The 21989-nt window shown below is 43.1% G+C and overlaps 1 long non-coding RNA gene across 2 annotated transcripts, besides 2 other annotated features; it reads left to right on the top strand.

Moving 5' to 3' along the window:
* The first annotated feature begins 532 nt into the window (after window positions 1-532).
* Window positions 533-20956, top strand: WAKMAR1 (wound and keratinocyte migration associated lncRNA 1). 2 transcript variants are annotated; one of them, XR_001754557.2, is made up of 4 exons: window positions 533-766; window positions 17477-17586; window positions 18964-19368; window positions 20645-20956. It is a non-coding gene; the product is annotated as a wound and keratinocyte migration associated lncRNA 1 (long non-coding RNA). The 2 variants fall into 2 exon arrangements; XR_937390.3 differs by lacking the exon at window positions 20645-20956 and having other exon boundaries at window positions 18964-20213.
* Window positions 8743-9942: an enhancer, noted in NCBI's record as "CDK7 strongly-dependent group 2 enhancer chr20:24083185-24084384 (GRCh37/hg19 assembly coordinates)". NCBI's record gives its function as "activates an origin of replication core promoter dependent on BRD2, BRD4, P300/CBP, MED14 and CDK7 cofactors, with strong dependence on CDK7, by STARR-seq in HCT116 cells {active_cell/tissue: HCT116}" and the evidence as "EXISTENCE:reporter gene assay evidence [ECO:0000049][PMID:35650434]".
* Window positions 20336-20539: a silencer, noted in NCBI's record as "fragment chr20:24072588-24072791 (GRCh37/hg19 assembly coordinates)". NCBI's record gives its function as "represses an EF-1alpha promoter that drives an FKBP-Casp9 reporter gene in an ReSE screen in phorbol 12-myristate 13-acetate-treated (for megakaryocytic differentiation) K562 erythroleukemia cells {active_cell/tissue: K562(+PMA)}" and the evidence as "EXISTENCE:reporter gene assay evidence [ECO:0000049][PMID:32094911]".
* Window positions 20957-21989: the final 1033 nt, after the last annotated feature.

Here is a 21989-nt window from a genome sequence, read left to right as displayed (position 1 = left end):
TAGAATCCCCCCGGCTTTCCTCTGTAGTGGAGGCCAGAACCACCATTGATTTCTACCTGCTAAAGCCTGAGAGATTCGACTTAATCCCCAGGACACTGCAAGGGGCAGCTGGGTCCCTGCCGCTTTGTGACTGAGGGCACCTATGCAGGGAGAGCTCAGTCACCTGCGCAGGGTGCCCAGTTGAGGGAAAACTCATCACTTTTGTTCCCCACAGAGACTTAGCAAAGTGAGAGAAGGACCCCCTGGGCCCCTCAAGTCTGAGAGAATCTGGCCCTGGAGCACCGTGGCAGATTCAGCAGAGCACAGAGGAGGCCAGGCTCCTCCTCAACTAGGTGAAACCAGCTTCCCCGCCAACACGGCACCAGCCCTGGGGAGGGAACAGTGCCCGGAGGAGTTGCAGGGATGTTAGTGGACATCTGCCATGTGCCCTGTGTGCCACTGGGAGGCATGGGTGGAGATCAGGTTCCAGGCACACCTCTGGGACATACCACAGGGCCAAGCTTTTGCAGGTCAGGGGCAGAGAAGTGAGACTGATTTCTGCCAGGACACCTGCGAACAGATACCAGCTGCCTGGAGTCTGTCAGTTGCTGAGGAGGCATAGGAAGAAACTAGTTCACCCATGTCTCTCTTACACACAGGTTAAAATCAACCTGTCAAATCTCATGAAAAACCTGGTGAAGTTTTGTTGGAATTGTATTATACTGGATGATCAATTTGGAGAGATTTGACAGCTCCAGAATATGAAGAATTTCTGGCTACAAATATGGTATGTCTCTCCATTTTTTTAAGACTTGTATAATGACTTTCAATAAAATGTCATACATTTTCATGTTACGGTCTTACATTAAAAATTATAGGCTGTTTATATTTGTTGGCCACCATAAGTGAAATATTTTAATTATATTTTCTAATAGTTGTTTGAGTACAGAATACCACAGATGTTAATATATAATCTTTATATTAAACAATGCTAGGTTCAATTATTATTTCTTATAATTTGTCTGTAGAATCTTTGAATTTCCTATATAGACAATCGCATTTGCAGATAATAGCAGTTTTGTTATTTTAGTCCCTGGGGCCTGAGCTTGTCTTGTCACTCTGGCTAGAAGGTGCTGCACAGAATGGAAACGGTGGGTGGTAGGGATCCTTCCTTATCTTTTTCCTATTTTAACAGGTGATGCTTCTGACATTTCACACTTCAGTGGAATTTTTTTTTTCATACCTTTCTGGTATGTATCTCTCATGAGATTAAGAATTTTTCAGTGATTTCTCATTTGAAAAGAGTTTTTGCCTTGAATTTTTTATCAAATTTATCAAGTGATTTTTCTGATTTCATTGAGCTAACTATATGGTCATTTCCCTTTCATTACGAAAGTGGCAAACTATATTATTTTTAAGTTATAATTTTCCAATGTTTGACAAAATTGCTTTCTTCAATAATCTCAATTTAGTTGAGTGCTATCTTTTTTATATAATGCAGTACAGTCATATGTCACTTAATGACAGAGACACATTCTGAGAAGTGTGTCATTAGGCGACTTTGTCATTGTGTGAACACCATAGAGTCCATTTGCACAAATGTTGGCGGCATAGCCTACTGCACACCTAGGCTATATAGTATGGCCTATTGCTCCAAGGCTAGAAACCTGTACAGCGTGTCCCTGTACTGAATACTGTAGGCAATTGTAACACAATGATAAGTGCTTGTGTATCTAAACATATCTAGACATAGAAAAGGTACACTAAAAATATTGTATTATATTCTTATGGGACCACCATCATACACATGGTTTGCTCATTGACTGAAACATCATTTTGCAGTGCATGCCTGTATTTTGTTTAAAGACATTTTGTAGAAAATGTATTTATATCTCTGTTCCTGATAGAGATTGGTCTAATTTTCCTTCCCTTTCTTTATCTGCTTTTGGCATCAGGGTTAGAGGTCAGCCTCAATACAAGGAGAGCTGGTCTGGAAAGGTTTCTGTAAGTCGGAAATTGTCTTTTCCTAGGAAATCATCTGTGTGTCCAGGGCATTTTGGGGTTGGGGAATCTGTGCACAGACTGCTTGAGTTCAGATCCTGTCTCTGCCATTTGTGTGACCACGAGCAAGATGCTTAGCTCCCCCATGCCTCAGCTAACTCATCTGTGGATTAGAATAACACTACCTGCAAGTGGAGTCCCAGTGACAATTAAATCAGTTAATGCACATAGGCCAATGAGAATAATACCTGGCACATGGCAAATGTACACATGGAAGAGCCCTTATGAGTCTTAAAAAACTTGCCTGGGAAACTAAGCAAAACCTTTGTGGGAAAGGCTTAAATACTCACGCAGTTTATTTAAAAACAAAAGTAATAGGATTTTGTTCAGTGTTCTTTTTCTTCTTGATTCAGTCCTTTAGAGTTTTCTAATAATTTGTCAATTTTACCTGTTTTAAAATTCATATTTAAGTCTTTGCTATATCTGTATTATATACTAGTTTTTATTCCTAATATTGTTTCTTTCACTTTTTCTTCAATCAATTTTGTACTGTGGTGGTTCAACTTCACCGGTCAATAACCAGCTTTTGATGATGTTGATTTCTCTTTCATTAATTGCTACTTTTATTTTTATTACTTCTTGCCCTGTTTTCTTTGAGCTTAGGTTATGGCTCCTATGCGTAGCTTTTTGGTTTTCAGTGTTTCTTTTTCCCTAGTAGAGACATGTCAAACACGCGCTTCCCTTTAAGTACTGCTTCGGTTTCTTTCCCTTTCGGTCTGACCGTTCGCCGTTTTGTTGGTTTTCACTGAGTTGCAGCGGTTTGTAGAGGTTTCAAGTTTTCATTTTCACGAAATAGTCATTTTCAAAGAGTATTACTTCATAACTTACACATATGTTTGAAAATATGTAATTATTTCTAGCAGTGTTGGGGCTGCCAGCCATGTGGCATTTTTTATTTATAAGTGAATCCCATTATGATCAAAGATTGAATTTTACACAACACAGAAACACGCGGTGAGCTCCAGGTGTGGACAGGAGGCTCATTTTGAGAGTTCCCAGGGAAGTGGGGCAACAGTCTTGGCGGTTCTGGAGAGAAGTCTTCATCATCTCCCAACCCATAACCCCGGAAGTCCCCTGGGAAGTAGGCGGACATCGCTGGGCCCCTTGCCGCCCCTCACGGCCCCATTGCATTCCATGCGCTCTGTGCTCTTCCTCCTCCCTCACTTCTACTACGTGCTGCCCGCACCCACCTTCCTGAAAGCAAGGTTCTGGTTGGCTCACTGTGCTGCCACCCAGACGCCAGGATTGGACAGAACCTTTGTAACAGGCCATCTCATTGGCTCCTGGCTTTGCTTTCTCCTGCACTAGGCTGGATTCTGATCCTTTCTGGTGCCTAGGGTGACAGGCGATCAGGTTGCAAAAGATGTGTCCTTTATGCAATCACTTAGCCTATCGCAGATTTCCAGGTGCCCTGGCTATGACAACGACTCAGTCTTCCAAGTCAGGGGCCAGTCATGATCTGGCTTGGGGTGTGTCACCTTGGACGAAGCAGAGCTCCAGGATGACTGAACACAAATGCTTCTCCTCACTTCCCTAGCTCCTACTCCAAGCAGCTAAACCTTTGGGCCCCGGGCATATGTAATGCACAGACTCCCTATCCCTGCCTGCAAGGAACTCCTCACCCATAGGGAGAAAAGTATAAGAAGCTCAAGTTACTATTCTTATGTCAGAGGAGAAAATGTTTGAGATGTTTCCAATTTGTAAAATCAAAACCAGGGAGCAGGACTCTGGGATGTTTTGATTCTTTGGACCACACCAATTTTTCCCTGTGGGAGGAGAGAAGGCCAGGACCAGAGGCTTAGGATTCCTTTCAATAGACTATGTAGACGCTCTCTTCTCCCCTCCTTCAGCCCCAGACTCTTTCCCTGATGCCACCTTAAGAGATGGACACAAGCCCATGGCAGCAGGGACATCCTTCTCCTTGTATTGATTGTTGCTTTCACAAGGAATATCTGCTGGGTCAATTCAATTTTTGCACCTGGAAATTGGCATCACAATGCTGCTTGCCATCAGAATCAAAAGGGAAAAATAAAAGGACACCATCTGCTTTGAAAAATACCCCACTGTGATATCAATCTGACTTTTGTACCTTGAAAAAATTGTGGACCATCTTGCAAGAAACCGTGTTAGAGGGAGAGACAATCTTTATTCCAGAGATTTGGCTTTCCTTGCTGTGTTCAGTTTAGGATGGGTCAATCTCAGACAAGATTTAATAAAAGATGCTATTTCTGGTCCCAAATGACATCATCACAGAAGGCACCATTGATCTCCAGTTATGGTGAAGAATATAAAATCTTCTTTGAGAGGTCATTTTTCTTCCTGGGGAAATCTATATTTTGAAATGACATTTTATTATGGCCCAAAAAAGTGTTCATTTCTGCTTCAAAACATTTCTCATACTTCATCAGATGATGCATTAAAGATGAGTGTTTTTTTTTTTTTTTTTTTTTTTTTTTTTTTTTTAGATAGAGTCTCACTCTTGTCACCCAGGCTGGAGTGCAGGAGTGCAGTGCAGTCTCGGCTCACTGCAACCTCCGTCTCCTAGGTTCAAGCGATTCTCCTATCTCAGCCTCCTGAGTAGCTGGGACTACAGGCGCCCACCACCATGCCTAGCTAATTTTTGTATTTTTAGTAGAGATGGGGTTTTACCATGTTGGCCAGGCTGGTCTCAAACTCCTGACCTCAGGTGATCCACCTGCCTCAGCCTCCCAAAGTGCTGGGATTACAGGTGTGAGCCACCACACCCAGCCGAATGAGTTTAATTTCTTGTACTTAACTAATTGATTGGAGAAAGTATTTCTAATCATTTAATAAGTGTTTTCTGAAATCATTGCCTGTCATGAAGAGACCCAAATATCATGTTCTGTCCTGTTAAAATTGTTTCTGGTATTTGGCAAAATATATCAATACAGAACAACTATATGTGTGGCTAATATAAAAAAATACATTATTTCTATCAACTGTAGGGAGAAAAAGTCTCTATGTTGAAAAGGAGAAAAAAAAATGCTAATGGCATTTCCTTGTCAGGAACAGGATCTTCTGGGCACTAAGCAGAAATGAACCTGGCAATAATCAATATTTCAATGCAGAAGGAGACTGGGTTTGATTTAATCGCTGGGGAATTATTTGATCACTGCCGGCATCTAACAGAGAAGACCTATCCCATTAGCAAAGTGGCTCTCTGGCTAAGAGGAACAGGAAGCCGAGACGAAGTACAAACAGAGGGAAGCTCAATGCCTGATTAGGAAAAGTGGAGACAGAAGCCACAGGGCACATGCGTCGCCCTCACTAATTGATCAGACACCACAGTGCAGGGATACGAAGTCATGTCGTCACAGTTTTCTTTAATAATAATATAATCAAACACATTTTAGGGAGCTTTACAAACTAACTTGATTGAGGTAAAATGTACCTACAACAGAATGCATCCATTTTAGGTTGACTTTGATGGGTTTTGACACATCTATGTACTGTGCAGTCATCCTCATAATCAAGGCATCTAGTATTCTGTCACATCCAAAATTCCCTTGTGCTTTTTTTGCAATCAATACTCATGCCCCCAGCCCAGACAACCACTAAACTGCTTTCTGTTACAATAGTTTAAATTTGCCTTTCTTAGAATTTCACATAAACAGAATCATACAGTCTATATACATTTGTGTTTGAATTATTTTACTCAACATGTTTTGGACATTCATCCATATAGCTGCTTGTGTCAGTAGTCATTCGTTTTTACTTGCAAGTGGATACTTAGTTTATTCCAGGTGTTTGGCTGTGGGCATTGTTTGCTGGGAGCATTTTTGTACAATTCTGTGTGTGCACATACTTTCATTTCTCTTGGGTAAATACCTGGGAGTGGAGCCGGTGACTTTTATAGTAAGCTTATGTTTAATTTCATAAGACACCTCCAAACACTTTCTCAAAGTGCCTGAATTCCAATTCTTGCAAATTTTAGCCAACACTTAGTATTGTCAATCATTTGTTGTTGTTAATTTCAGCAATTCTCGTGTGTGTGTGTCTGTGTGTGTGTGTCTATGTGTGTGTGTGTAGTGGTAGCTCATTGTGATTGTAATCTATATTTTCCTAATGACTAATGAACATTTTTTCATGTGTTTATTGGTGACTCATGTATCTTTTTTAATGGTGTCAGTTTGAATCAAATTTTTAACAGAGCATTACTAAAACTCAAAGAATTAAGATCTCCCTAGCAAATGAATCAGATAGATCAGTGGTATCTGCGTATGTATTTTTATCATACAGACTATGATATAAAGTATATTTTTAGATCTTCTATATGAGTTAAGTTTCATATAGGAGAATTTTATATATGCCTCCTATGTGTTTAAGTCTCCTAAACTTTGTGGCTTAAATCCCCAACCCTGTGGACTAATTCCCCAAATTCAATGATGAAATCACCAAATCAAGGTTTACCCTGTGGATATCAGCTAAGGATTAGAACAGGCTCTCATTGTATGATGATGTTCATGGCTGCTGGTGTTCTTCATTCCATGGCAATTATTTAGTCACTTTGGGATTGTCACAAAAACTGCACTTTCTGAAATTTCAAACAGTGAATATTACCTGGAAGGCTTTTCTACAAGTCCAGGGAGATGGCTGGCGCATATGAAACTGCATTAGTAGAACTCCTAGTAATGAAAGCTCTACTCTGCAAAACTTAGTCTTATGGTTACCGCTGTGTTCAGGTCTCTGCCACCAGGAGTCTGCTTCATAGTTCTTGACTCAGGAATCTCCTGTTTCTTTGTAGTGAGACAGCTGTCAGTAAAAGCTCTTTTTAGCTTTTCACCATCCAAAGGTTTTTACCTCCTCCTGACCATAATGGGTGAGAATGCACTGCCTGGCTCAGGAGTCAAAAATATGTGGTCCCATGGGACCTCTGCTCTGTCCCTTGGCTTGGGGAATGTGTGGCTGTCCACCAGGGACTGCCTCCTTTCACTAGTTTTGGGGTTGCAGCAAGAGGACCCCTCACCTATGCATCACCAATGCTTCTCTAAACTCCATGTTGACACCCAGGGCTCCTACAAGAGCTCCCTGCATGGAGGGTTTTGTCCCTGTGCATCAGTCTGGGGGGCCTATCAGCCCCTGCACTCCATCACTCAGCTCAACTACCCCTGCATAGCCCACTCATCAGCGCAGGATTCCTGGTGTTGGGAGCACGGCCTCTGTGCAGGCCCAGGTTTCCCAGGATGAGCCTGCTGCCTGTTTGTTTCTGTGCAATGCTGACTCTCCATGCTTAGGTTCATATATTTCTACCAGCAGTGAGGTGTCCAGACACCACATCCATGTGTCACCACAGAAAATAAGGAGCCAGTTCTGGAACCCCACAGTCTTTTATGGGATATCATAGTCTTTTCCCCATGATTCAATTTTATGGGATATCATAGTCTTTTCCCCATTATTCCAGTCCATCCTGAGAGGGCCACTTTCTGCAAGCTGCACCTCCCCACCCCGTTAAAGCATCGTGAGATCACCAGTCATTCAAAGGCAGTGGTCCTCATGCCACACCCCAGCAGCACACTCTATACCCAGGGAGACTTCTTACTCCAAAAGCATCAGAACCAGATGATTTTGGACTAAGGACCACTGGTTTCCCAGTGCTTCTAAAAATCTAGAAGATTTCACTTTTTTGTCTGTGATGCCTTACACACACAGATGCACTTGTTCTCTGCATATGGCGTTTTACAGACTGAGAGCTCAGAGGAGCTGGAACCCACAAGTGGTGGCCATAGAGGATACGGGCAGCCTGGGCTCCTTCAACGACTCCATTCATGGATGTAGAGAAATGCTCCCTTTCATGGCAGCTGCAGGTGGTATCTTTGCCCCTCTTCATCCCACTGCCTCACAGCCCTGCCCTGGCCTCACTGATTCCAGCACTGAACTTTCCATCACAGTTCTGTCTCCGGTCAGTCTTTTCCCTGGGGCACTGTGGGCTGACCATGTTTCAGGATCAGGCTCAGGATGAAATCGAGTCTCCCCTCACCAGTGCCCATGAGCACATCTACACATACATGTCTCAGGACAGTCCCTGCTACAGAGCAAAGGCAAGGGCTTTTCTCTTTATCCACTGCTTTGTTCCAAGCCTGTTGCCTTTATGGCAACTGTTGATGTTACTGTGAATCTCTCTAATTTTGTCTCAGTCTCAAGCTAGCACTAGTCTAGATCAATACAAGTTACTTGTACTGATGCGGTCTGTGCTGTGGCAGATCGTCTGGTTCAGGACCCCCCATGAGCTCCAGGGCCTTTACAATGCCATGCCTCCTGTTGAGAGAAGAAGTCTCTTTCCCAACCCCTGAACCTGGGCATTCCCGTGGCTGCCTTTGATGAATGGACAGTGGGGGACAATGAACTGGGCAGGCTCCTGAGCCCCAGTATAGGTTACAGCCCCCACCTTCACTCCCTTGCAACACTGAGACCACAGTGTTGTGGAGAGTCCTGGATCAGCGTCCTGGAAGATGAGAGGCTACTTGGGCACACGGAGGTACCCCGACCAACAGCCATACCACCTGCCAGCATGGCCATGGGGCCAACTTGGGCCCTCCAGCCTGGTCAACACCAGTGGCTACAGCACATGTAGGAGCCAGGGGATACCAACAGAAGAACTGCCCAGGCTGTCAGCCCTGGAGACTGTGAGAAATAATAAATAATTGTGAGTTTCAGCCCCAAGTATTGGGGGGCTTTATTACCTTTTACTGCATAAAAGGTTTTCAGGAAATCTGGCTCTCCTTCATTATGCTGGCTTCTACCCACTTAGAAAGGAGTTTAGGCTGGGGATCAGGCCCTACACTCCCAGGCATTGAGATAAGGACATTTTGGATGTTTTGTGACAGCAATCCGTGAAAAGCAGACTCCGACTCAGCTGTTCCTGCCACCTCATCTGTAACAAAATGAAGCAAAACTCCCAGCTTCTGCAAATGCTGAGAACAGATCACAGTAAACTTGAGGTCATCTAACATAGAGAACTTTGGATATTTGGCTAAAAGCAGAAGAAGAATTTGGCTCTTATTCTATTTCTTTTTTTAATCATTAATTGGAATAATGCATCTCAAAAATTGTATGCACAGAAATGTCTTAATATTGAAGTTTCCATCTGTCTTTACCCCCCTTCCTGTACTATAATCTCATTCTAACAGAGCAGAAAACATCTTTCTAAACTTCTACTGAAATAATAAAGTACTTTCAGAGAATCCATTCATTCATTTTAACAGACACATTTCAGCATACTTATGTTCCAGATTGAGTGGTAAAGTTTGTAGAAAGAGCTTTGGACACCATCTCTCCCTATGCTGAAGAATCTGTCAGCCTAGATTGGAAAAGAGATGATTAAAGAGTCTGAGAATTGATGTGACAGAAGGATATTTATATAATAACAGTCATCATGAAAATGCATAGAAAAGGCACAGAGGGCAGACTTCAAGGAGGCCAGGGAAAGGTTTTTTCCTGAGGAATTCATGAATGAATTTAGTCATTCATTAGTCATACTGAAATAACATTTTTGGTAATGTCATGTTAGGTGAAAAGGTTATCACAAGAAAGAAGTTGGGGAGAGAGGAGAGAGAGAGAGGCATTTAGGATGGCTCTTATTTCAGGGTCATAGGAGTTTTTGGGTGCTAGTGGGGATGAGGAAAGTCATGAGGTTGAAGTACTTTTATTTGCTCAGATAACAAGTTTAAAGCACATATCGAAGGCAGCTAAAGCCACTGAAAGACGAATCTGACAAGCAGCATAGTCCAGAATGCCTATTAGGAAGCTCACTTTGAACGCAGCCTGTGTGGCCATGGGCAGGATGGGCTGGGGAGGAGGCCCTTGCTGAAGTCCAGGTGATCACTGATAAAGGCCTGAACTGGGATGGCGGTGGGAATGGAAGAAGGGGACCACGAAGGGGATGTGTAGAGCAAGACTGCTGAGGACTCGGTGACTGGAAGGGGAAGTTGAGGAGCTGCCCTCTGCTGGCCTGGCATGGCTACCGCCAAAATACCCTTAGTCTGAGATGTGTGCCCCAGTAGGAGTCCAAGGGTAGCCTTGCATTGAGCAACATTTTCACCTAACGACAGTCACATCAGTGGTTTGCTTTCTTTTGTTGGTATAATATGGCTTATGATTTCTGCACACACAGATAAAGACACGTCCTACAAAAACCAGTCACACGGGACTGTGGCGCTGATGGTGGGCTCACACAGTCACAGATGGTCCTTCTATTTTTGTTAATTCAGACATTTTTTTTCCCAGTGCAGGAGTTGTTACAACATGAATTAGGTATAATGAGATTCATGAATTAGATAAGAGGATTTGCTAAGACTTGACTGGGATTGGCTCTAACTTGATTAGAACCAGGAACTAAAGCTGAAAGTAGGAAAAAAGGAGACCTGCGTTCTTTTGTTTGCCTTTGAGATTTTATTGTCATTTTTGTTTTTAACCTTCCAAGTTCACTTGCAGCACATCTCACCACCACCAACAAAGATGACAGAACACTCCAAAGAGCTACTGAGCACACGAATTTAAGGACAAAGAAGGAAGCTTTTGAGTTTGTTTATTTGTTTTAGCATTGATAAATTAGTTTCAGAATTTTGTTTTACAATAAACAAAACACACTTACAGCTATAAAGCACCTGATCATTGAAATTCCTGCAGGAGATAGCATCTTTGTTGTCTTGGGACTTTAGTCCCTAACCCTGCTTTACCTTTGAAATTTTTTTTGTGATAAATGATGTTTTAATAATACAAAGATATTTAGTAATGTGATAATGCCATATTCTCCAGGTCCTTTACATGACCCCGAGAGACTGGACCAGCAGAGCTGCTTTTCTTTCAACTTCCCCTGTATAACCGTTTTCTGCCTTTCTCAGCTCCCTGTAAGCCAGCCCCATTTGTTGGCCCAAGCAGGATTTAAATGTATGAGCCTTAGTCTTTCCCACTTGGCCCAGGCTCCCAGATTTGACTTAGAATTAAGTCTCACTTCTTAACCTGGATCTGGTTCAGGAGACCCCTAAACTCCAAGTCTCTGAGCTGAGGCACCCAAGAGAAAGACACGCAATGGGATATCATAGTCTTATAGGATATGCTGCCTTAATTAACAAATGCATGATTTAAAAAAGTCAGTAAGCCATACTATGGAAAACTATTCAGCAATACAATGAGTAGAGAGTTAATACAGGCAACATTTGGTGAACCTCAAAGAAATTACAGTAGTCTCCTCTTCTTCTTGGGAGATGTATTCAAAGTCCCTCAGTGGATACCTGAAACTGGATTGTGAAAGCGATCAGTCAGAATTGTGTGAGTGATTGTTTATTAATAGTTGACACTTTTTTCCTGACAGGTAACTGGAGACTGGCACAGAGGAGGCACCCAATGGCACTGATTATTCTTGGCCAATATGGCTGGAGCCATAGAAGGCTGATCTTGCCTAAATTTGCCCTACTTGGTGTTGAACAACTTCCCCTACCTGCTTTCTGGGCCTTGTCTTCCTTTTGAATGATAAGAACTTTGCAGTCATATCAAGTCCATTTTGATGGTCATTTGACTCCAGGCCTCCTTCTTACTCAAAGCAGTTTATGTCACTGTACAGTGCATGTACTGCACACTAGGGGGCTCCATAACGGCATCCTTTGGAGTTGTGCGGTGCATAACAAGCACAGCCATCCATGGCAACCCTGTTAACACTTGCCAATCCACTTTCCAAATCAAATCGTGACCTGTGTCCCCCAATTTCACACAATCAACCCTTCCCCCTTCCTGCTTCTTGGGTATTTGGTTCTGGCCTGGGTTTCCTGCTTTATCTGATAGACCGATTAGGCCTTTTCGTGCCCCTAGCATGTGGAAATTAAGCAGAGACTACTCCTGTCAGTCACTGTGACTGCACACCCAGCTGCCCTTATTGACTCATCCTCAAATGCTGGAAGAGGCCCTAAGCCTGGCAGACATGTAATGCAAAGCTCTGAAACTCACAGACAACTCATTTATTTAACAGGTGCCACTGGGTGCCTCCTCTGTGCCAGTCTCCAGTTACCTGTCAGGAAAAAAGTGTCAACTATTAATAAACCATCACTCACAATTCTGACTGATCACTTTCACAATTTCTAGCTTTCGGAAAGTTTTTATGAAAGTAATTATCACTTTCATAGTTTTAGCTCATAACAAGCAGAGTAGCAACTGTACAGAACTTTGCTTAAATGCTGCCTTAATTAACAAATGCATGAATTTAAAAAGTCGGTAAACCATACTACGGAAAACTATTCAGCAATACAGTGAGTAGAGAGTTAATAGAGGCAACATTTGGATGAACCTCAAAGGAATTTACAGTAGTCCCCTATTATTCTTGGGAGATGTATTCGAAGTCCCTCAGTGGATACCTGAAACTGGATAGTATTGAACCTTATGTACAATGTTATTTAATGTGTAATTTAGGCACAGTGCTCTTGCACTTTTGAGCCATTATTATGTAAAATAAGGGTTATTTTAACATGAGCACTATGATACTGCAACAGTCGATCTGCTAACCAAGACATCTACTAAGTGACTAACAAGTAGATAGAATCTACAGTGTGAATATTATAGACAAAGGGATGATTATGCCTAATTTTATCACACTACTCAAAACAGTGCATGATTTAAAACTTAAGAATGATTTCTGAATTTTTTAATACAGTGTTTTCAGACCACAGTTGACCACAGCTAACCAAAACCATGGAAAGTGAAACCACAGATAAGGGCTCAACTAATGTAATGATACGAGAAAGCCAGTGTCAGGTATGACAACTTATATACATGGCGAAGCTATTGATCTCTCCACCTATCCATCCATCCATTTGTTAACCTAAGAAAAATGGCACTAGAGAAAATTTTCTCTAATTATGTGGGGTTTGCTCAGAAATAGAAATAAGGATTATGATCTGGAGTGCATGGAATGGCAAGGCACCAGCACATCCAGTGAGGGAAGAGTAAGGAGGGCTTTCATTAGCAAAAAGAGACCTACGTAAGCTGCTTGGAAACAGAGTTCACTGGTTCCAGAAGTTCAAAGCAGAGTTGCTGTCATTTCGTTGGTAGAAATGCTGTTACTGGGAAAGTGTTCTTCTGAGAACATCTTTTCTAAATCACTGCAATCCTAAAGGATGTCTAATGCTGTCAATGTCACTTGAGAGTAAAAAAAAAATTAAAAATATCTAGTAATAAATCTTATCAAAGCAGATGATACACGAAGGATGAGAAAGGGTCTTTTGAAAGTCCTTGTCTTATCTCGAACAGGTAAGCATGAGCCTCCTCTCCTTCTGGACTTCCTGGCCCTATTTTGTCTGGGTCTGGCAAAAGTGATTCATCCTGGTATCTTCAGCTTTCACACATGCATCCCCGTGGGAGGAGGGTGTTTACTGAAATCATAGCATGAGCTGCCAACAAGGAATTCAGAGGAACAGTCTGCTGGTTCCTGTGTATGCAGTGTCCATTTTCCTTCTTCTTTCTCCATAAAATTTCTACCTCCTTCTGTGAATTTCCCAGGGCTATGTCTACCTTCTGTACCACAATGTACAAGGAATAAACACAAAACTGTTCAGTCATATTCCCCAGACCTTCGGATCCATTAGCCTTGTATTTGTTGTTTTAGTTATTCTCCTCCACACCCACCCCCACCATCAACTACCCAAAAAGTCCAAATTTGCATGCTAGCCTGCCTTCGAATCCTTTGGGAATGGGCTGGGATGCCCGAGAAAACTATGATACATCTAAAGGAGATGCCTGCACAAATGATAGAATGGAAGACCAACATAAAACTAGGTCAGGGAAGCTACTGGCATGTGAATTTTAACATCTATTATTCTGCGTTCACTTTTTTTCATTAAAAGATTCCAGGAGTCAGGCAAAACTGGGGGCACAGAGTTAAAGTCAAAATGCAGAAGGAGGCCGGGCGTGGTGGCTCACCCCTGTAATCCCAGCACTTTGGGAGGTCAAGGCAAGAGGATCACTTGAAGGCGGGAGGATCACTTGAGGCCAGGAGTTCGAGACCAGCCTGGACAACATGGCGAAATCCTACTAAAATACAAAAATTAGCCAGGTATTTTGGTGCATATCTGTAATCCCAGCTACTGGGAGGCTGAGGCAGGAGAATCACTTAAACCTGGGAGGTGGAGGTTGCAGTGAGCCAAGATTATGCCACTGCACTGTAGCCTGAGTGACAGAGCAAGACTGTGTCCCCCTCCCCACCAACCAAAAAAAAAAAAAAAAAAAAAAGAAAGCAGAAGGAGCTAGCCAGATCACCTAAAATAATGAAAAAACTCATTCCAGGGATTGGAGCTGAATTAGGAACAGAAAAGGCCAATGTGGGAAGTGTCACTTGCTAAGCAAGGAAAGTTATTTCTGCTGGCTTTTTATGGCTCATTCATGCGTGCGGTGTTTTCACCTTGAGCAAATACTAAAAGTCAGCCTTTGATGGGAGGTACCAGCCAGGTGGCTCTGATGTCTACCCCCTCATTTCTTTATGCCCTACCCGCTAAGCCATCTCCATCTTGCAAATTCTTTTGTTCTTTTTTTTAATATCTTTTTATTCATTATATCTTATTAAATGCTTGGAAGTGTGTGTGTGTGTGTGTCTATATATATATATATGTTTCGTTTGACCTATTTCTTAATGAAGGTTTGCAATGTGGCAGGCACATACCTAGATGTGTATCTGGTATTAGCTTATCAGATACTCATGGGCGAGGCATGCTCACTTTACAGGTAGACAACCAAAACTCAGTGGGTTTGAATGACTTGGGACGTGTCACCCAGTCAACCACTGATTGATGGCATGTGGACCTAACCCATTCACTGGCCTCTTGTGCAACTCTCAAATCCATATTTCCATCCCTCTGCTTTAGTTTATGTTCAAGCCCTTATCATTCCTTACATAAATTATTGAAAAAGCCTCCTCACTTTCCTCACTGTCTCAAGGCAAGACAATTTTCTCCTAAAATGGCTGATTTCTACTAGTTGTAGGTCATCACTTTTCCTATTTTCACCATTCTTCAACCTCAGGTTCTTGTATCCATACAAACATACTCAGTGAGTTTTAATTCAGCTGGCTGCTAATTTCACATTCCAGGATGTAGAACAGCCAGTAATAGCTGCATCCATACAACAGCCAATATTCAACAGCCACTTATCAACCACTTCCGATGCTCTTCCGGGCACTGAGTAAGATGGGAAACCTCAGCACAAAGACAGCAAGTGGCAGAAGAGCGGGAACAGCGGCATTTAAGATCTGGGCCTGGAGGAGGATTTCAACACGTCCTGGGAGAGGGGGAGGTGGAGAGAGGCTTTGTGTTTGGATGCCCCAGGAGAGGCGAGAGGCACGACTCTGGGAGGCGAAGGGAAAAGAGGAGTGTGTTGTTAGATGCGCTGGAGGGAGAAACAGATAATGCCTGGTTGGCCCCGCTAAGGAACTTGAACCCCGTTCTGAGAGTCCTAAAGGGCTTAACATAGACAGATGAGATTAGATCTGCATTTCTCCAAGAGCGTCTGCTAAAGGACGACCTGGAAGGGCAGCTGGAGGTCTGCAGTGTTCAGAACAGAGAGTGTTCAGAACAGAGAGTGTGGATGTTCTGCTCTTTGTCTGCTCCTAACAATGGATTTTAAGGAGCAAGAGTGGAATTATTCTTTTGTCAGAAAACTCTACAGTCCTGTGTTAAAAGAAAAGGACTACGTTTCCTTAGCAGTTTCAGCAGAAGGATCACCCCTTAGGACATAAGATCAAACCCTCACTCCACTGTAAAATGCTCAACTGGAGCAACAGAAGCAGCCACAGGCCCCCAATCTCCATGTCTATTGTTTGCTGCCCCGGCAGTGAGTGTCCGACAGGTAGAGGCTGAGAATGGAAGTGCTCAGTGGCAGGTGCATTTAGCACAGGGACTCCCTCAGTCTGTAGCTCCTGCCCCTTTTTAATCCAGGGACTGTCCCTCACAGCTTCACACTGGCCTGCCGGGTCCCAGCTGCCAGCAGGCTTCTCAACATCTTCATTAAAGCCCTGGAGGGATTGATTTCATTTCAATTAACTTGTGCTCCCTGAGGTCCTTGATGGCCTGTATTCAGTTTGAGGATGATTCCTGAGAGTGGCCGCCCCCTTTCTGGACAGAGGCATCTTTTAGGTACAGATTCTATAAATCCTCTTGCCACTTCTCACCAGGTGCCGCCTTTTCCATCTGCACTTTGGATTCCTTTTAAAGGACAGCACAGTCAAAAGACTGATCTTAGTGATTGAGGAGTGGGAAGCGTGGAGAGGGGCACAGCAGAAGGAAATGTGGGGGAAATGGGCTGGAAAGGCAGCTCTATCACCGGCTTCTCAGAGACATGTGCCGGCTGCATCCCATTGCCCCTCCTGAGAAATCTCATGGGTCTTTGTCTTTTTAACCAACAGCATGGAGCTACGTCAGTGTGGAAATTCACCTGCCACGCTGGGACATTTCATTTTCATGAGTCATCAGGTTTTCATGTCTACGCTTGCCATTTGAAAGAACACCAATAGTGAGGCGGCAGGCACATTTATTATCACTCATAAATTATGAAGAAAAACTTGAGCTGCCATTAGTTGTCAAGGCCTACCTTGAAGGCACAAATATTTTCAGCAGAGCCAGTGGGAAAGGGAGGGCGTTTCAGCCCAAGGTAATCAAGTTACTGCATTGTGGAACCTCTGGGCTGAAAGGAAACTTGGTAGTCATTTTTCTATTCTCTCCTAGAAGTCCCTTTTCAATATTCTTAGAGAGTTTAAGTGATTGATATCCTCACCCACTTACAAGGTTTTGAAAAACAACTTGCCAGAAAATGTGCAATAATTTTTAAATAAAATAATATTCAAAATAAAAAAAAACCCACCAACCAATTAGACAAGTGCCAAAGTAATGGTTTACAGAGGAGGCAGAGTTTGGGCCAGTGTCCATTTGAGCTTTCCTGGCAGCCAGGCAGAGGTAGGGCACAGCTTCTGTTAGAGATAAAGGGGCTGGCCCTTCAAGGGGAGGGTTCCCTCCTACTGAGTCCATCAAGAATGCCTATGATCCCTGTACACTTCACAGGGAAAGTAGCAGCCACCTGCATGTCATCTGCTCTCCACAGCATTTCCACATCAAATGCTGGAATAGACCCATGTCTGTCTGGGTGAAACCACTCTCACCGAGTTAACAAGAATTACATGCCAAGTTCTAGACAGAAATAGAATTAAGCATTAATCTGCTGTGCCCCTCTCCACACTTCCCACTCCTCATTCACTAAGATCAGTCTTTTGACTGTTCTGTCCTTTAAAAGGAATCCAAAGTACACTCATTTCCTTGTAGCTGCTTGCTACCGAAAGTCATGCAGCACTACATACTGACCACTTGCATCCGTGTTGTTCCTATAGATAGGATTTCTGATGCTAGAATAATAATGTTTCTGTTTAACAATTGCTTAATATGTTTTTCAGATCCTGAATTCCAGTGGAATGGCTGATACCAAGCAGCATGAAGACCCCCCCAGAGGAGCACTATCAGCATGAAGACCCCTGCAGAGGAGCCTAATCAGGATGAGAATGAGGTTTCTTCATCTCCTTGTCTCATGACTTCACCCTATGCTCTTTGACCAGTCAAGGATCCCCACACCTCGGCCCACTATTCATCCAAACCCCTTAAAATCCCTACTTCCAAACTCCTTGGGGAGATGGAGTTGAGGTTTCCTTCTGTCTCCTCATTTGGTTGCTTTACCATGAAACCTCTTTCTCAGCTGCAACTGGGTGACTTAGCGTATTGCCTTGCTGTGCATCGTGAAACAAACTTGGTCCTGTTACATGGGTTCTCCTTGAGTAAAACCAAGGACAGAGGAGGCAGGGAAGCATGGCTTAGTGAAGGAAATTCATCAGGGGCCCCAACTGATTCAAATCAGGGCTTAGACTATCTGAAGAAATAGATTAACTGAGTAGTTTTTAAAGAGCCTTTCTGAAGTGGCTACGTTGTCTGGGGTAAATACCCGGGGTTTGTTCTCTCAGTCCTCTCACTCCAGGAAAATTTAGGACAAGGACACTCATGAGGAGTTTAGGAGTGGAGGTTTAATAGGCAGAAGAAAAGAGAAAGAAAAGCCTGGGCGTGGTGGCTCACGCCTGTAATCCCAGCACTTTGGGAGGCCGAGGTGGGTGGATCATGAGGTCAGGAGATCGAGACCATCCTGGCTAACACAGTGAAATCCCATCTCTACTAAAAATACAACAAATTAGCTGGGCATGGTGGCGGGCGCCTGTAGTCCCAGCTACTCGGGAGGCTGAGGCAGGAGAATGGCATGAACCTGGGAGAAGGAGCTTGCAGTGAGCAGGGATAGCGCCACTGCACTCCAGCCTGGGTGAAAGAGGGAGACTCTATCTCAAAAAAAAAAAAAAAAAAAAAAAAAAAAAAAAAAAGAATAAAAGAGAGAGAGAAAAACAGCTCTCTCTATAGAGGGAAGGGTCTTCCGAGCAGAAAAGTCTGGCTGGCAGGGATGCACCAGATTTTATAGTCCAGCTTGAGGAGGCAGTGTCTGATTTATGTAGGGCTCACAGAATGGTTCGATCAGGTGTGACATTTACATGGGGGGGCAGGGCGGATGTGAAGGCTGGTTACCCCACCCTTGTGCAAATGAACGCTCCCCTAGGCCTGCTCCATCTTGTCTGCTCCTTCTTGAACACGTGGCTGACAGAGAAGGGAAGATGGAGACACCATCTTGAATATGTCTAGTCTCTAGTTTCTGGGGGCTTTCACCCATTCAAGCTCGCAGTTTGCTTGTCCATGTCTGCAACTCGACTTTACAGGCTGTTCTTTGTTAGAAAATGATTTGAGGCTGCTTGAGTAAGTAAAAGCCTTACTGAGGACTCCCATACCCTCACTATCTGCCTAAGTGATTTCCTCTGAACTCCTATATCACTCCCAAAAATGTCTTTTCAATCAGGCTTTGTATGTGTACCATCAATCAATAATTGGAGGCTGACTGCCCTGGAAAAGCTGGGACTTGCACTGAAAATTGGGGCCTGATTCATATGCAGGAGATGGGATACAGAAGCTGAAGTTCATGCGTAGGAGCCTATATATCCTTCTCAGAAAGAAGGTGGGACATCACAGAACTTTTTCACGAAAGTTGTTCTTTGCCTATTCTAACTACTGAACAGAACCATCAGTGAAGACTCCATAGAACATGAATATAATGATTATGGCATAGGAAATTTTAAGTAGTTATTTTCATGTGCCGGACACCACAGGAAGATCTCAATGATGCTTCTACTGACAGTCTAATTTTGAAGGACACCATGTCACTTCCTGCTGGAATGAACTCATGGCTGACCATGAGCATCTCTAGGTAACTAAACAAGCCTGCATTTTGGAGCTAGTGAACATAGACCCATGGAATTTGGAAGACAGCTGTGAAAATGCTGCCTTGGCCTTAGAATTGCTGGTTTTGATATTTTTTTAAGGCACATGTTAGGGTGCAGGTTTTTCTACTTAATGACAACAAGAACATATTTTCAACATGCAAACACCCAGGTTTCTGTGGCAGGGACATCATGATAACGTTCCAGATATTAAGATATTTGTTATGAAAGAAGAGCAGGATCCCGGCCCTGCTTTCTTCATCCCAGGTGTGAGGGGGCCATCAGCTGCTTTGTAGCCTCCATTCCAGGATGCAGGCTGCCCTTAACTCTTGGGTCTCCATGCTTACAGAGGCAGCAATAACTAGGTGCCTCTTGTAACACTGTTTGGTTTAACCTGGACACAGAGACAAAAGACAAGAAAGGATCGATTGCAGCTACACAAAGTGTTTCTTTAGTTGTAACAAACTTTTCAGTAGGATGTTAGGAAACTTGGGTGGGGCTCTCTCCCAGCACACTGGGAAGCCTTGGAGGGTTTCAAATGGGAAAACAGTAGGACTCTTGTTTTTCAAAAAGCGTTCTTGCTGCTAGGTGAAGAATGAATATGGTGGGGGCAAGGTCTCTAATACTACGTAAGAGTGGCTTCCAGGTCCCAGAATGAGAAGTATCTAGGGTTTTTATAAAATTTGAGGCTGCTTTATTAAGACAGAGCTGGAAGAAATGTCTCAGGGGGTCACTAGGGGTAAAGGAATGTATCAGAGTCATAGTATTCACAACTTTTTTTTTTTTTTTGATGGAGTCTCGCTGTCGCCCAGGCTGGAGTGCAATGCTGCAGTCTCGGCTCACTGCAACCTGTGCCGCCTGGGATTGAGTGATTCTCCTGCCTCAGGCTCTTGAGTAGCTGGGACTATAGGTGCATGCCACCACACCCGGCTTAGTTTTGTATTTTTAGTAGAGACGGGGTTTCACTGTGTTGGCCAGACTGGTCTCAAACTCCTGACCTCATGATCCACCCGCCTCGGTCTCCCAAAGTGCTGGGATTACAGGCATCAGCCACCACACCCGGCCATATTCATGACTTTCTTACCAAATTCTTTCTCCCTGTGAGTTGGCAGACCCCTCTCTGGGGTTTATTCTCCAGAGATGGGAGGAGCTGGAGGTCAGTAGGGACAGAGTCATCACCAGGGTCATCAGGGAAAGGAGAGGGAGGAGGGTCTGTGCTGTTGGCCAAATAAAAGGAAAACTGTTTGATGTCATTCAACACAGATAGGCTCCTGCAAGGCCACAGAGTGTATGTCCTCCCAGCTGGACGAAGCAAGCCTGCCCCTGACACCTGCAGGGCTCCAAGCAAGAACATAAATGGAGACCCTCATACCACAGACCAGAATTTAGAGATTATACATCAAAATCTCAAACTGCTAAATATACTACATTCTAACCTCTTACTACTTCAGAAATGTCTTCATAACAACAAATCAGGAAAATATTAACAAGGCTTTGGGTGTGTGGGTGCGTGTGTGTGTGTGTGTTGTTGTTGTTGTTGTTGTTTGCTTTTTTGAGACAGGGTTTCACTCTGTTGCTCAGGCTGGAGTGCAGTGATGCAGTCATGGCTCACTGCAGCCTTGACCTTCTGGGCTCAAGCAGTCCTCCTGCCTCAACCTCCCAAGTGGCTGGGAACACAGGTGTGTGTCACTATGCCTTCCTGATGTTTTTACATTTTGTGGAGACAGGGTCTTCCTATGTGGCTCAGGCTATTCTGGAACTCCTAGGCTCAAGCAGTCTTCCCACCTTGGCCTTCCAAAGTGCTGGGGTTACATGTGTGAGCCACTGTGCACAGGCTATGGGTTTTATACAACTAAAGGGTGGCAATATTTCAAAAATGACTGAATTAAATTTGGATTCTGAGTATTCTGTTTATGGATTGTTTTTGTTTATAGTAGAGTATTTTGTTTATATATAGGTAAGAAAATTAAAACACATGTGTGATTCATACATTATTATATATTTAGTGTATAAAATTTATTGTTCTTGTGTTCATTTCAGCAAAATCATGAATTGGCTATTTTTAATATCATCATATAATTCATATTCTAGCGATAACGTTGTTTAGATGATGAAGATATTAAATGTATATATTGCAGGTGGTATGAAAAAACATGTTAAATAAAATTGTATTCAAAATGCTCAAAATTTGGATGCATTTTTATCATAAATGTAGATCATAATAAATAAGAAAATGCATTTTTTGCATTCAAAATTTATATTTCTTTTAAAATGTTTTATGATTATTGAAACCTAGTGGCAACAGGATGCTAGATTGACATAAGTATCCATGTTTAACTTAATATAGGTACAGATGGTTACATATGAAAATATATTATTGGGTTAGTATACACACATCTATCTCCTTACTCTCTCAGCTGGGAGAGCCTGAAAATCATACTTTGCTAGCAATGAGCATACCTAGTACCCAGATCTTGGTTTTGTATGCCATTATCCAACAAAAGGAACCATGGGTCCTTGGAGAAATGGCTGATTCTAAAACTGGGGCAGAAAATATTCAAAGTGAGCCTAAAACACCTTGTAGTACCAGAAAGTAAATATGTGCTCA

This window comes from Homo sapiens, chromosome 20 (assembly GCF_000001405.40).
Source record: "Homo sapiens chromosome 20, GRCh38.p14 Primary Assembly".
In the NCBI taxonomy this organism is placed as follows: domain Eukaryota; kingdom Metazoa; phylum Chordata; class Mammalia; order Primates; family Hominidae; genus Homo; species Homo sapiens.
This window is presented reverse-complemented; position numbering and strand designations above follow the sequence as displayed.